This window comes from Homo sapiens, chromosome 3 (assembly GCF_000001405.40).
Source record: "Homo sapiens chromosome 3, GRCh38.p14 Primary Assembly".
Classification (NCBI taxonomy): domain Eukaryota; kingdom Metazoa; phylum Chordata; class Mammalia; order Primates; family Hominidae; genus Homo; species Homo sapiens.
The window spans coordinates 106371484-106386734 of record NC_000003.12 but is presented as its reverse complement, the minus strand read 5'-3'; the positions used below and the strand labels follow the sequence as shown (position 1 = coordinate 106386734).

The 15251-nt window shown below is 36.3% G+C and overlaps 1 long non-coding RNA gene across 1 annotated transcript in view; it reads left to right on the top strand.

The window, feature by feature from the left end:
* LOC101929485 (uncharacterized) overlaps positions 1-8620 on the top strand; it is a 254397-nt gene extending 245777 nt beyond the window's left edge. Inside the window, exons 13-16 of the long non-coding RNA XR_007095992.1 lie at positions 849-1085; positions 2012-2124; positions 7145-7224; positions 8383-8620. This is a non-coding gene — a long non-coding RNA (uncharacterized LOC101929485). The remainder of the gene's footprint in view (positions 1-848; positions 1086-2011; positions 2125-7144; positions 7225-8382) is intronic.
* The last annotated feature ends 6631 nt before the right edge of the window (positions 8621-15251 follow it).

Below are 15251 nucleotides of genomic sequence, written 5' to 3'. Positions count from 1 at the left end.
CATAAAATTTTGCTTGTAACATAAAATGTGTAGTATTTCTTAGAGTGGAAACTGTACTGTAAGATATTGATTTTTCCCTTCCTGAAAAAGGAAATGTTGGGGGGAGGGGGTTAGTTTTTCTTAATTCCTTGCTATTCATGCTACAAGATTCATACAGTACATTTATATTATTATTATTTTTTTAAATTCCTGTTTTATTAAGATTGTTACTGAGACACCAGGGGTTTTGCTCACCACACAGAAAGCCAATCACTGAGACAATGAGTATTTCCGGGGAAGGAGGCTTTATGTGGATGCTACAGTCAAGGAGAATGGAAGATTAATCTCAAATCCATCTCTTCAAGTGACTAAACTTAAGGGTTTATAGAGCATGGAAGAAATGTAATTACATGTGGAAAAACAGAAATTAGGGAAGTGTACAAAAGAGGAGTTAGTCAATGGGTAGCAGGTGGTCTGTTAGGCAATCACGATGAATGGGGGGTCTTGCGTCTTATTGGCCAGATGCAGTGATCTGGTAAGTTTCAGTTCCTTGATACTGTCAGGAAACCTGACGGTTGGTTTCCTGAGAAAGGAACTTAGATAAGACACATGTAATTTTTTCAAGCTCTAAGACAAGGAAGGTAAATTTCTAGTTCCATTCAAGGAAAATCATAAATATAAGTTCTATGGGGAAATCAGGCCAATTTCAAGGTGAACTGTCAAATAAAAATTGTATATAATTAAAGTGTACAACATGGTGAATGCACAGCCAGTGAAGGAAAAGCAATAATATGTGATGGTTAATTTCAGGTGTCCACAGTGCCCAGATGTGTGGTCAAACATTATCCTGGATGTTTCTGTGTTTTTAGGTGAGATTAATATTTACTCAGTGAACTTTGAGTAAAGCATTGGGTGCTTCATTATGTGGAGGAGTCTCATCCAATCAGTTGAAGGTGACTGAATGGAACTATAGATCGACCTCACATAAATGAGAGGGAATTCTGCAACAGATCATCTTTGCCTTTGAACTGCAGCATGGACTCCCCTCTGGGTCTCCTGCCTGCCAGCCCACCCTGCAGAGTGCATTTGCCAGCCTCCACAATCAGGTGAGCCAATTCTTTAAAACAAATCTATTTCTATAGACACACATTCTATTGGTTCTGTTTATTTGCAGAACTCTGATTACTGCACAGTATAGATAAATAATTGAATAACTTAGGTAAAATATTATAGGTGCTATCATAGGAGTTTATTCAACAAACTGCTGAATATACTACATAAACAGAAAGAGAAAGAAAAGTCTTATGTTCCAGTCAATAGATAACAAAAAAAATGACTAAATTCAATAATTCAGAATAAAAATTCTGAGCAACTAAGAATAGAAGAAAATGGTATCCACAAAAAAACCTACTGTTAAGACCACATTTAATGGTGAAATATTGAACTCATTAACACTGAGAATATTTTCTCTGACAACTCATTGTCCATATTGCTGTAGAGGTTCAATCCAATGCAATGAGGCAGAAAAATATATATAAGCCATAAATGTAGGAAAGTGTCAAAATTATATATCTCTCAGAGAACATGATGATCTACATATATAAAAGAATCTACCAAGAAACTACATAAGTAATGAGTAGTATTTAAACATCACAGAATAAAATATCAAAATATAAAAATCAATAGTATTATTATAAGCTATTAATAAACTACAGATTTTTAAAAATGCATGTATTATATTATAGCATCAAACAACATTCCTAGAAGTAAATTTAACTAATTATGTATAAGACCTTTATACGGAAAATTACAAAACCTTTCTGAGCCAATTTTAGATAACCAAAATAAATGGAGAGAGGTATCATGTTCATAGAGAAGTAGCAAGTCTGAAGAATCAATATTATTATGATGTTAGTTTTTCCTTGATTTATTGAGGATAATGTGGGTAATGTAACTGGCTCAAAGTCACTTAGCTATAAGTGGTAAAAACTTTGTTCAATCCCAAAATTCTTCCTTTTTCCCTTTACACAAGGTAATTTATCCTGTGCATTAACAAGAGGAAGTCTAGAGCCATGGAAACCAAGTCAGGAAACTTCTCTCTTATTATTAGGTCCACTGCAAATCTAGTTGAGACTGCAAATCGAGGTAAATTAATCCCTTGTGTTTTCGTTAAGAGGAAAAAACTCTCAGCAAAAGTGAATCGAGATTGCATCTTCCTTGAGAAATGGAGAATAAATCCATATAGATAAATTATTTCGAGGAATCACCGGAAGGCAGCTTCCTCTTTTGTTCATTTTAGTACTGCAGTTGGCAAACTTCAGTGTGCATCAGCATCACCTGGAGGGCTGTGGTTAAACACCCATTGTTGGGCCCACCCTCAGAGTTCCTGATTCCAGAAATCTGGGTTAGGGGCCTGAGGCTTTGCATATCTAACAATTTGCCTGGTAATGATAAAGTTGCTGGTTCTACCACCACTCTTTGACACTGTCTTAAAATCGATAGAGCGAGAGCTCTTTAATTGTTCAAATGTAAATGCAGTAAGGCTTGGCTGATCTAATATTAATCTTTAACTAAAACCTCTATTCACTTTGCTTAGTATGTCAGGTTTTATTCATTAATCAAAAAGTCCTACTGCAAACCAAATAGAATAGAGCTTGAGTTACATCACAGCAGAGTTTAAGTTATCCATCTGGTGGTTTACTAGCCTCAAGGCTAGCACATACAACATTTATGTATTTTGGTCTTTCAGATTATATAATCATTAATTCAGTGGATGTGTGTTTTTCTTTTTATTATCTTAATTTAATTAATTAACTAATTTGTTTTTTACAGATAGGGTTTTTGTCACTCAGGCTAGAGCGCAGTGGTGGGATCATGGCTCACTGTAGCCTTAACCTCCTGGGTTCCAGCCATACTCTTCTCTTACCCTCCTGAGTAGCTAGGTGACAGGCACTCGCTACCATGCCTGGCTATTTTTCCGAGAAGGGGTTGTGCTATGTGGCCCAGGTTGGTCTCAAACTCCTGGCCTCAAGCAACTTTCCTGTGTCAGCCTTCCAAAGTGCTGAGATTATCGATGTGAGCCACCACACCCGGCCTTTTTCTTATCTTTAAGACAGCATTTTATATAAGATGCCACATTGTTGCATCATATCTGATCAAATTTAAGGAATAGAAGACAGAAACTTTATACAGATAATGTTGGTGTTTGTTTATTTTAGTATGTGATGAAGCTCACTTTAAGAGCTTACCCTGAGTAGCTGGGCGTGGTGGCTCACGCCTGTAATCTCAGCACTTTAGGAAGCCGAGGTGGGCGGATCACGAGGTCAGGAGATTGAGACCATCCTGGCTAACACGGTGAAACCCCGTCACTACTAAAAACACAAAAAATTAGCCAGGTGTGGTGGCACATGCCTGTAGTCCTGGCTACTCGGGGAGGCTGAGGCAGGAGAATGGCTTGAACACAGGAGGCAGAGCTTGCAGTGAGCCGAAATGGCACCACTGCACTCCAGCCTGGGCAACAGAGCAAAACTCTGTCAAAAAACAAACAAACAAAAACAAAACAAAACAAAAAAAAAACACCTTACCCTGAGTTGCTAATTTAGAGAAAGTGCTGTGAGCCGGGAAAGCATTCATAGAAGAGAGTAAATGTTTTAAACCATTGGACATATCATAAGACAGTTACCAGTAAATGTCTTTTAATATGTCATTACTTTTATGGCATTTTGCTTACTTCATAATTCGGCACTCACCATATTGCACTTCACCACTTCATCTCTCCCTACAAGCAACCACAAATTGTTCTCAGAAAATGCTGAATGGAAAAAATAAATGAGTTCAGATAATTAATTGCAATAATAATGAGAGCAGTGACAGTGTATGTGTTTACTACAGGCCAGGTGCTTTGTTCAATGTACCTCATAAGCAGTATCCCATTTATTTCACAAAACTCCTATAAAGCAGAGTTTCTCAACATCAGCACTATTGATACTTTAGGCTGAATAATTCTTTGTTGTGGGAACTGTCCTATGCATTGTAGGATGTCTAGCAGGATCCCTAACTTCTAGCCCCTAGGTGTGAGTAGCCTCCTCCTGGTAGTAACAACCACCATTGGTCCTGGTTCAGAACCACTAATATAAAGTGTATAGTACTTCATAGATGTGGTATTGGAAATTTACTTTGTCCAAGCTTTTACAACTCATTATATCAGAGCAAGGATTCAAATGCAGGCCCTCAAATTTGTTCCTTCTTGGTATGTTTACTAATAATGGGAGCCATGAATTTCTGTAGCCCAGAATAGGACAAACAGAGACAAATAGACAAATCATTTGAGAAAATATAGGTTTGGATCTTGTTTTTTGTTTTTTTGTTTTTGTTTTTGTTTTTTTTTTTAAAGCTATGGACCAAATTCTAGTTCCTACTTAGAGCAACTTTGGGTGCAAAATTAAGCTGTGATTAATTCCTTATAAGTCAGTCTTTTAAAATGAGTTTTGCCATATTTAAGCTTTAAATTGTAGGGTCTATGTTTTGTCTCAGTTTTTATTACACAAATCATAGGTCCTTGAGTATAACTTAGCATCTGTTCTATTGTTGTGCAAATGGAAACTTTTGGCTGTGACTCAAAACAGCTACTGTACAAAGCAGGATTCTAATTGGCATGGCTGTCTGGGTACAATGTGTCTGGTCACCAACTAACTTGCACTAGATTTATGTTATGGATTTTTATTTGCTTTGTTGCTCTAAGTAGGAACTAGAATTTGGTCCATAGCTTTAAAAAAAACAAAAACACAAAAATAAAATCTGAGGTCCAAACCTATATTTTCTCAAATGATTTGTACAACAAATAATACATGCATAAACTTCAAGTGAAATTGGGATGTATTGTGTATTTTAGGTCACCCATATGCCTATAGATAGATGATTAGATAAATAGATAGACAGACAGATAGAAATCTGCTGTGTAAATCGTGGAGCCTGCAGCACTTCTAAGAGTCAATCAGAAGCTCATGTTCTGGTTCTGAATGACAAGAGTTGGTGATTGCATCAGCTCCTTTGGGAAAAAGGACGATTTACTAATAAGGCAGTTGATAGTAGACAGACATGGGTTATATAGAGTCATTGACTCTAGAACAGGTTGAAGAGATATGAGGTTATAAACTATCTACATTAAGGTAATTATAGGTAGGAGAAAGGAAAGACCCATACTTTATATTTAGACTACGATACAGAGGCTAATGATATGCTGTTTTAACACAACACACACACACAATCACATGTTTAACTTATTGCTGTAGATCCCATAAAATGGAACCCATAAACTTTGTTGGAATTGAGTAACTGCAATAAAATGTACCCATATATAGTGTATCTTTTATATGCTTAAGAAAATATTTTCAAAGGCTTAGGACCTACATGAACAAAACTATAAAATCTCATTGAAGGATATAAAACAAATTCCTCAACATATGGAAAGACAGATTAGGTTTCTAGATGGGAAATGATGTAATAAAAATTATTAATGTTTTAAAATTAACATACCGATTTTATATTATTCAATTATAATATGAATCCCAACTATGAATTTTCAGAATTAAAAAAATTATCTTAACTCTTTGTATGCCAGTGTAGATTTCATAGACTGCCTACATACATATGATAAATAGTAAAAGTGGACAAAGCTATAGAAATATAAAATGCTAAGTATCTTATATAATTCTATAAAGTACTAATATCCAGTCATTCTTTTAACAGCATGACATAGATAAATAAATCCTTAGAAGAAAGACAGAATCTAGAAATCAATTCAGTATTATAATAGCAGATTTTATACTTGACAAAGTTGTCTTTCATTTCACTGAGAAAGGATGGATGGTTAACAAATAGCCCTGGCACGGTCAGCTATTTATTCATGTTTTGCATTATGTACAAAAAAAAAGCAGTTTCAGATGTATTAAAGTCATATTTGTAAAAAGTAAAACTAACATTTTTTTGCAGAAATCTAGGAGATTATATGCACATCTAGGGGCAAGTGTGACCTTCTTAACTAAGACTGAAAACCCAGAAACTATAAGAGATAAGGCATATAAATCTGTAGCAAAAGATAACACAGACAAAATCAAAAGACATAAAATAGGCTTTGAAAAAAATACATGCAATGGAGAATACAGACAGAAGATTGTTTCTATAATACACATAGGACACTGAAAATTTGTCAAGATGAGAATAGAAGCTCGACAGAAAAAAAGGCTAAAGAAGCAATTCACAGAGACTAGATGCTCAAACTGACAGCTAGTCACATAAATGCACTTTAAAGTAACAAAGAGATATCACATTACACTGCTGAGGCTGGCAACAGTTTAAAATGGTGATGACTTGACTGGAAAGTATAAAATCTAAAGTATTATAGACATTTTGGAATGCAATGTCCATTAAAATTAAAATGCATCTATTCTGTGACACAGAAAACCTTCTTCTTGTTAGTCCAAGCATAAAATAAAGCACAAATAAGTAGGAAAAAAAAGTACAGGATATGCATCTATCACAGTTTAATTCACTCTAGCCAAATAATGAATATGAAGCAAAAGGCCCTTCAATAGAGAAATGGTTAAAAATATGGTAAACTTATATCACAAACTACTCTTCAGCCATTAAAAAATGAAGTAAAACTATATCAGTGAACAATTGATTTAGTGTGATTTTTATGATTTATTGTTTAGTGAGAACAGAAATATATAGAATAGTGAGTATTAGGCAATCTCTTTTGGATAAAATAACAATGTAACAAAGGAGGAAATTTAGAAAAATGGAAACAAGGAGACATGTTAAAGTAAAAAAATGTTTTTAAATACAATAAAAATGCATGTATGCTTCATTCACACTTACAATTTATATAGTATATAAAATCTGGATTAAAGTCAAAATGCATTGAAATTGTTTGGGATTACTCTAATTTGAAACTTAGGTTTTTTAAGACTTTAAGCAGAAGCTGTTTTTTAACATTTCAAAAATATATGTATAATACATATTTTCTATAAAAAATAAAAATAAAAATTGCAGGTAAGAAAAAAAAATACCCCAGTCTTCCTGTTTGAGATTCTGTCAATTGGCTGTTTTCCTCCCATTCCCTAGAGCTCTGTTCACTGGCTTTCGTCTCCTTTCCTCAACACAGTTTAGTCACCACCTCCGAGGAACTGTGTCCCGCATTGGCATTCCTTTGGCAGCTTCCACTTCTCTGTCCCCTTGAGCAAAGTACGTACCAGACATAGCCCAGCCTTAAACTAGAACACTTGAAAAAAAAAAAAAAAAAAAAACAGCACCTGACCCTGGGGAATTCCAGAAATTCAAAAATTCAAAAACCTGGCCTTTAACAATATATCCTCAGTGAGTGCTCTACTCAATATTGCAAAAGACATGAAATCATACACAACGTATATCTTTCCCAAAAGAAGCTTAAGATTTTATGGAGAAGCTAGACCTTATGTGTATTAAAATGAAATAGTCGTATTTCTGTCCTTGAATCCATATAATAATTCTTGAATTAATTGTAGGTTGAAGAGTTCAGGAGAAAGTTTATTCAAAAGAGCCCATAAAGCCAGGTAGAGGGAAATCTGAAAATCTGAAAAGGAAGTGCACTGAGGACTGAGTGTCTCTCGTGTTTGTATCTTTTCTAGTGTTCAGGCCTGTCTCAGTCCTATATAATTCAATAGGAAAGAAGGGCCAAGTCTGAGCTGGTAAAGTAATAAAAATTGATATTTCTGTTTAAAAGCCACGAATTGATACACAACTTAGGCTTCATGGCTAGAGGCATACTTTACCTTTAGCTAATTAAAAGGAGACTCCAGCTTATAGAGGAAGCCAATATACTGCCTCCAAATAGCCAGTTCTTGATCTGGATATGTTTCTAAAATAATCAACGCATTTAGGTCTTTCTCACAAAAAATATTTTCCCCACTACTTTGGGCAGGAGACAGGCATGGGGTTGGGGAAGGAGGATGAAACAGAAGCTGAAGTTCCTTCCAGATGCCCAGGTCAATCCATGGATGGTAGAGAGGCCTAATGAGGGCAGGGGCCTTGGAGACCCATCTGGGAAGTATAAGCCACACTTGCAAAGAGACGTTATTTGATGTGCAACTGACAGGGTAAAAAAGCTTAAAGGAACAAGAGTAAGTGCACAGACACTTGCAGTGCTCAGACAAACCTTGCAGTGCTCTGGGCTTCTGTCCTGGCCCCTGAGTAACATTAATTAATTGTCACTGTCTATGACACTATAGTAACTTTGGAGTGGAGGAGATTGCTTCTAAAAGCATAGTCTACTGCTAAATTGTTTTTTAAGTCAAAGAGATATAAATAAGCTTGTTTGTTGTTTTGTTGTTTGCTTGCTTGTTTATTCTTTGTTACTCTTCCAAGGTTTTTCTCAGGGGAAGCCGAGCTCCAGACTATTCATTTGTCCTGAGGCAGCCACTTGAAACACAATCATTTTGTATTTCTACGATGTTTTGACCTTTTATCCAAGTCAGCCCTATAGAATGGGCCAGGAGGTTGCTGCCACTGAATAAGCCACTGTGATTTTTAGCGTCAAGAATTTTGCTGTTAACTATGGCAGAAAAATAGACAGAGGACAATAAAAATAACTAACATAGACTAATTGCAAAGAATCTTAATATGTTCTTACAGTCATCATTCTTTTATTACAGTTCCTGACTTCCTCATATAATGATAATTGAAAATCCCCTTGAACTTGGAGTCTTTGCTTAGTTCCTGAATCCGAAGTACAACACACTCCTCTCATCTTCCTAATCCTCATCCCACCCCAACCACTAGGCTAAATGGATGTGTAGTTCCTTTCCTTCACATAGGCTCTGTTTCCTAGTAAGTAGGTTCAAGTCCAATCTCAGCACAACAGATATAGAAAGCATCATTTCCTTTTCCTTCCAGGTCACCCCTGTGCCACCCACAGTCAATTTGCCATAAATAAGATATTGGCATTTCTGTAGACTTCCAGTCAATGTTTCACCTGTCACCATACTTCTAAATAGAGTTTTGTGTTTATAGTTGATAATAAATACTTTTAATTTAATCAATAAAGGAAGGTTAAATGCTATATAGGGTGTACTCAAGAGGAAGTGACACAGTATTACAGAATTGAAAACCTTGGAAGACCAGATCAATGAGCATGAAATAATTAAAAACAGTAAACTTATTCATTCCTTTATTTATTCATCTAGTTTGAGACTATAAATTGTACAGTGTATAATTACAGTTCTGAAAATATCTAAGAAAAAGTACTATAGGTATTGAAAAGAAACCAGTATGAGTAACAGCTCAGATAGTAAGAGACATAAGGCATTTCATAGGCGCTGACAGGTTAGTACTAAATCAGGAGATATTTTGTTAATGATACATACCAAGCAGTCAACTAAAATGTGGACGGGTCAGAAAAGAATTAATCCTAAGAAATTTGGAGATTAGCATCTCAGATTTCTCCTTGAAGTAACCTCATTATAATTTACTAAGGTGCTCTGCTGAGTCCATAGCTTTATCGTAGGATTCTCACTTACGTACGCAGACATAATGACTTATTTTGACTACATTGGACCTTACAGCCTGCATTTCTATAGCATAAGAAAATAAGTCCTCTAACAAAATAGGGGCATTTCCTCAATAACAGCCCCAGAATTAGGGTGAATGGGTTCCTTAATTTGGAGGTGATTTGATGGAGTATTAGTTATTTTTCTACATAAGAAAGATGTACTATGACAGGGTAGGCTCTGTTGTCTTAGTGAAGGCTGAGTAGGATTATTTGAACATAATATCCTTTTTTTTTGAGATGGAGTCTTGCTCTGTCACCCAGGCTGGAGTGCAGTGGCGCGATCTCACCTCACTGAAACCTCTGCCTCCCGGGTTCAAGCAATTCTCCTGCTTCAGCCTCCCGAGTAGCTGGGAGTACAGGCACACGCCACCATGCCCAGCTAATTTTTTTTTTTTTTTCAATTAGAGACGGGGTTTCACCATATTGACCAGGCTGGTCTCGAACTCCTGACTCCGTGATCTGCCCACCTTGGCCTTCCAAAGTGTTGGGATTACAGGCATGAGCCACAGCGCCCAGTGGAACCTAATGTTCTTAATAATGTTCAGCAGAGATAGAAAGTAATGAGTTGAAGAATTAGCTAAAACCTGTCTATGGTGGTTTTAGATATGTCCACACATTCTTTGACTCTCTTCCCATTGAGAGGTAGGACCTATATGCACCCCATTTATACATCTGACAGGACATGTCTCTGTTTAAACTCAAAAAGTATGGCAGAATTTATGCCATGTAATTTTCACAGCTAGGTTAAAAAAAAGGACACACAGCTTCCATCTGTTTTTCTTGGAACATTCCCTGTTGGAACTCTGAGCTGTCATGTAAGAAATGCCACTACCCCAAAGCTGCTATGCTGTGAGCAATGGAAACCCAGGCCACATGAAGATGCCACGTTTAGGTACATTAAACAACAGCCCCCCACTAGGACTCCAGCCCATAACTGATTTCAACCACTGTGAAATTGTCTCCAGGCAATTCCAGCTCCCACCTCGTGAGTCATCTCCAGCCATGGAGTCCTCCTCGTTGATGCCGCAGACAACACAGACCACAGGCGAGGCATTCTTGCTGTCCCAAAGATGACCAAATTCCTGACCCAAAGATGCTGTAAACAAACAAACAAAAAATGTTTGTTCTGAACCCTAAAATTTTGGAGTAGTCTGTTAAGCAGAAGTAATAACTAGAGCAACCCTCTCTTCCTATCACCTTTTTTTTTTTTCCCATTGATGGCTAGTGAAGATAAAGACTTTGGTGGAAACATGACTTTTGGGAAATTATTTTGAGTGGAGGTGGTTAGAGGTAATGATCTTAGGAAGAAAATGAAGAGAAAGTTGGAAGTCCATGTTTTTGTCCTTTAGCACTATGTACTCTTGCCTTTTAGACTTCTCTTCACATTACTATCAGAGCAACTACTTTTCTCTGTATTATCTCTTTCCTTCTGCCTCTTGTCTTTGTCTCTCTGCTTGTCTCTTTCTTTCTCTGTCTGCTTCTGTCTTTCAAATGCATCATCCACTTTGCACCCCTAGTCACACCATTGCTGTGGTTCACTTTACATTTTCATTTTGTTAAGCTATTTCAGTGGAGTCTCTATGTCATAAAGTAACAAGTAACAGAGGTTTTTTTCTACTCAGTGAAAATCAAAAGCAAAGGAAATGCATCTACTTGACAGACCTGGAGCAGTTAATATCTATCTACTCATAAGGTGTCCACTGCTACAGAAGAAAAAGAAAAAAAAGTTCTTGCTTTCTGTCTAATTGTGGCATCCAGGATTAAATAGGAGTAAAGAGGGATTACTAAAAGCAAGGGGTGGGGAATGATTTTTATAATAAGAAATAAACTTGTGAGCAGTAAAGAGCCCTTTTATTCCAAAAAAAAAAAAGGAATCTAAAGTTTGTGCTTGCATTTTGAAAAAGCAAATGGCAATCGGGTGGCACGAGTCGATGGCAGGAGCATGCAGTGGTACTGACCCCAGAGGCAGGGACACCTTATCCATTAAGTACCCTGGACAGGTTGCCCAGGATTCACAATACTTTTAGGAGCCCATAAAATGTTTTACATTTCTTCAAAATCAGAAGGAAAAAAAGTGAACTTTTATAATAGATGAAAGAAAATATTAAAAAATATTTTAATTACTATCTTTGTATACCAACTGTATCAAAAATAAAATCTTATTGTTTAATGAAGTAAGGGGTTCATGATACTTAGGGTCCGTAAAAGTCATAATGCAGCCTGCTGAGAAAGCCATGTGGGAAAGGACATGGAGGAAATAGGACTGCCCACGCCCTGCTATTATAACGGTAGCTTCAGTGCCCACCTGAAGCAGCAGGTTTTGCATGTCTACAGCTTAGGCCCTTTGAATGGAGTTTCTGCACAGCACTTGTGATCTTTTATGCATCCAATTAGTACAATTTCATAGTATACATGCTTTATTACCGTACTCCTTCATATCTATCTGAGCTAGAATAGAGTCAGGAGTTTGGAAGGAGGAAACATACAAATATACGATTGTTCCTGAGTTTCGGTTATTCCTCAGCAACAGTGTGTGCCTGAGCATTTACCAGACTCATGGGGGAATGAGAAGCTCCCACTGCCGGTGGAAGGAATACTCTTCGGTGATCTTTGTTAAAGACAGTAGCTCTTAACATTCTTTCCATGTCTTCTCAAAGCAGGGACCTCATTTGGTCACATTTTAAAATAGGATATTCAAGGAGCAGTTTGAATACTTTATCAGTTCTTCTCAGGTGCTCATTACCAAGAGGAAACCAGTGAGAATTGCACAATTAAAAATAAACTTTTAAAATCAGTATAATTTGAAGATGATAAATGTGAATATTGGTCATGCCTGTGGAAATATAAACTCAAACAGGGCAAACATAACAGTCTATCACATTATGCATCGTTGCTAAAAAAAAAAAAAAAGCAACAACAACAAACAACCTTTCAAAAAAATCACCTAAGGAGCCTGTCCTACCAAAGCAACTAGAAGAATAAGGTCTCACTGATAAGGCATAGTGGGGAATAGAGAAGGAAGGCTGTTCAGAAGGTCCATCTTGTTCACCTGTACTTTCTCCAGGACTCAGCATAGTGCCTGGTACATACTAGGTACTCAATAAATATTTGTTGAATAAGGAATGAAGCAATGCATAAATATAGGGCTCATTCTAGTATACTTATGTCTAATTCTGCCTTTTTCCTGGTTCTGCCCAGCAGCACACTAGCTTCCTAAAGAGGAGCACCTAAGAAGATCCCTGAGTCTCTTTTACTCATTCCTGCTTCCTCCCTGTAACGTTACCGCCTTGTTACTGACTCTCCCTTTTCTTTTTCTTCTGATCACCACTTACCTCCTGCTCTGATGCTTCCAATGTCTTATTCTGATTGCTCTGCTTCCTGGTTTCAGTTCTCCCATCCTGACTTGATATGCTCATAGATCTAGTTGGAATTATTTATTTTTGACTGATGATTCTTGGTTCATTCTCTCTTGCTGTCCTGCTTCTTAGGCAACCTTCGATCCAACAGAACAATGGGATGCAATCAACTGCTGCCTCTCCCCAAACTTCATAAAGAGCTGAGGGCTTAAATAGGTGTTTTCTACTAGGTTTCTTACCCTCCTCAATATACTATCTAGAGAAGCTTCTTTCAAAAGGCTATAGTATGATTTATTTGACTCTCAGTTACTGACCCTTCACTTATAATTGCAATTCATATTCAAAGCAGACACACAATTCTGATACATATCTTAGTAATATTTTAAGTGTTTGCTTAAATATTTCTGTTTCCTAGGTCATTTTAAAATCCATTCCTAACCTTCCAAAGTGCACACGTGCACATACACACACACACACACACACACACACACACACACAAAATCAAGTAAATGAATCTGGGGATTAAAAGATCTAATGAAATCCCAGTTATTTTTACTTACCTGTACACATTCTGGTTACACATATTTTTCTCTACTCTTGAAAACTAAAATAAAAAGCCAGAGTGAAATCGATGGGGTTGATTCTTGGGAGACTTCTTGATTTAGTAAGATTCTTATCATTTTTAGCTGATCACAAAGAAAAAGAGCCAAACTTAGTGGTGGGTGTTTATAATATTGAATCAGACTGCCAGCTTAACATTTGAAAAAACCAAGATGACCTAAAAAAAAAAAAAAAACCAGTACTAATGCCCAACTCCTCTGGACCAATCAAAAGAAAGTCATTTAGGGCAGGGTCAAGCAGAGGATTTATAAACACATCCATGATGACTCTAATGATGTGTAGCTAGAATTAAGATCTATTTATTTAGAATATGCAGTTGCTCTATTATTTTGTTCTCTTTACTCAGGGAAAGATGGATTTAAGTTATTTTTATATGATATTGAAAGAATAAAACAAAAGTATGCAAAGCAAGAAAATACTTCAGTAAGACCAAGTGAATGAGGCAAAATATTTTTGTTTTAAAACTCTATAGACTGTCATCAAAAATCAACAGGTCTAGGTTAGAACACACTTTCAGATCCATAAAATTTGCAGCAAACTGCCACAGCTGGAAAATAAGCAGAGGGTTTCTTTTGGCAACAACCTATTCCAAACTGTCAACTGCATTCTACATGTGCTATTTTCTGAGGATAATTCTGTTTTTATTATTTGCTTGTTAATGTTAATTACTTTTGAACTTTAGAATTACTCACAGTACATTTTGGGATGCAATGAATACATTACTGTCTTAGGGTATCAACATTTCTTCCAACTTCTCCTTCATTATTACAAAGCTGAAAAGGGCTATAAAACAGACTCTGCTAAATGACTTACTTTTTATTCATCGAAATGTTCTTTTTGATGAACATGAAAAAATTAATCAAAAAATTTAGTAAAGTCATGGGGGATTCCAAACCCTACATATAGAATTCCAAGTCCTTATAAATAGGCCAGTGACATTTTCTGAGTATCCACAGATGCTTAGCACTGTAACAGGAACTTAAAGTATATAGTTGAGATTAGACCTGACTCATGTGCTGAGAATTTTATAATCTTTAAAAGAGATGAGATAGGTCAGTATTCAATTAATATGAATACATACAAAGAATTATTCTGACAGGGAGTGATAAGGAGAGGATTGCACAGATCAAAGAATGAGCCATAGTTAATTGAGGGAAATTTCCCTTGAGAGGTTTTCTGCAATGGACTCTGAACTTCAATTTAAAGAGAGGGCTATGGTTTGGAGGACAGGAATGTTGAGACTGTTCCTTGTATATGTGGTGAATTAAATGAAAACTTTAAGAAGTGAATAAAATGGAATGAAATGGCAAAAAAAAAAAGAAAAGTTCTTAGCTGTTTCAGATGACTGTGAAAAGAAACCCGATTACATCTTGCTCAGCAATTTTTCTTTAAAATACAAAATTTGCTGACGGTGTTCTGCATGAAAAGCTTACATGAACATGGATGGATGGGAAAACATGTCTTTCCAAAGATAAAAACGCCTTTTTCCCCTATTTTAAAAGATAGGTAGCCTTTAAATATGAAATATTCTTATTATGTCTCCCTTATAATAAATATTGTTATTCCTTGTCGGAGCATTCTAAAACTGGCTCCCCAGGGTAGATATATTGATCCACGCCAAAATTCCACGTGCTTTTCTGTATCTTTCAGTCCCTTCAAAGATAAATAGGACCATTTGACCAATTTTTGGCAAGCAGACCGTGAGTTGA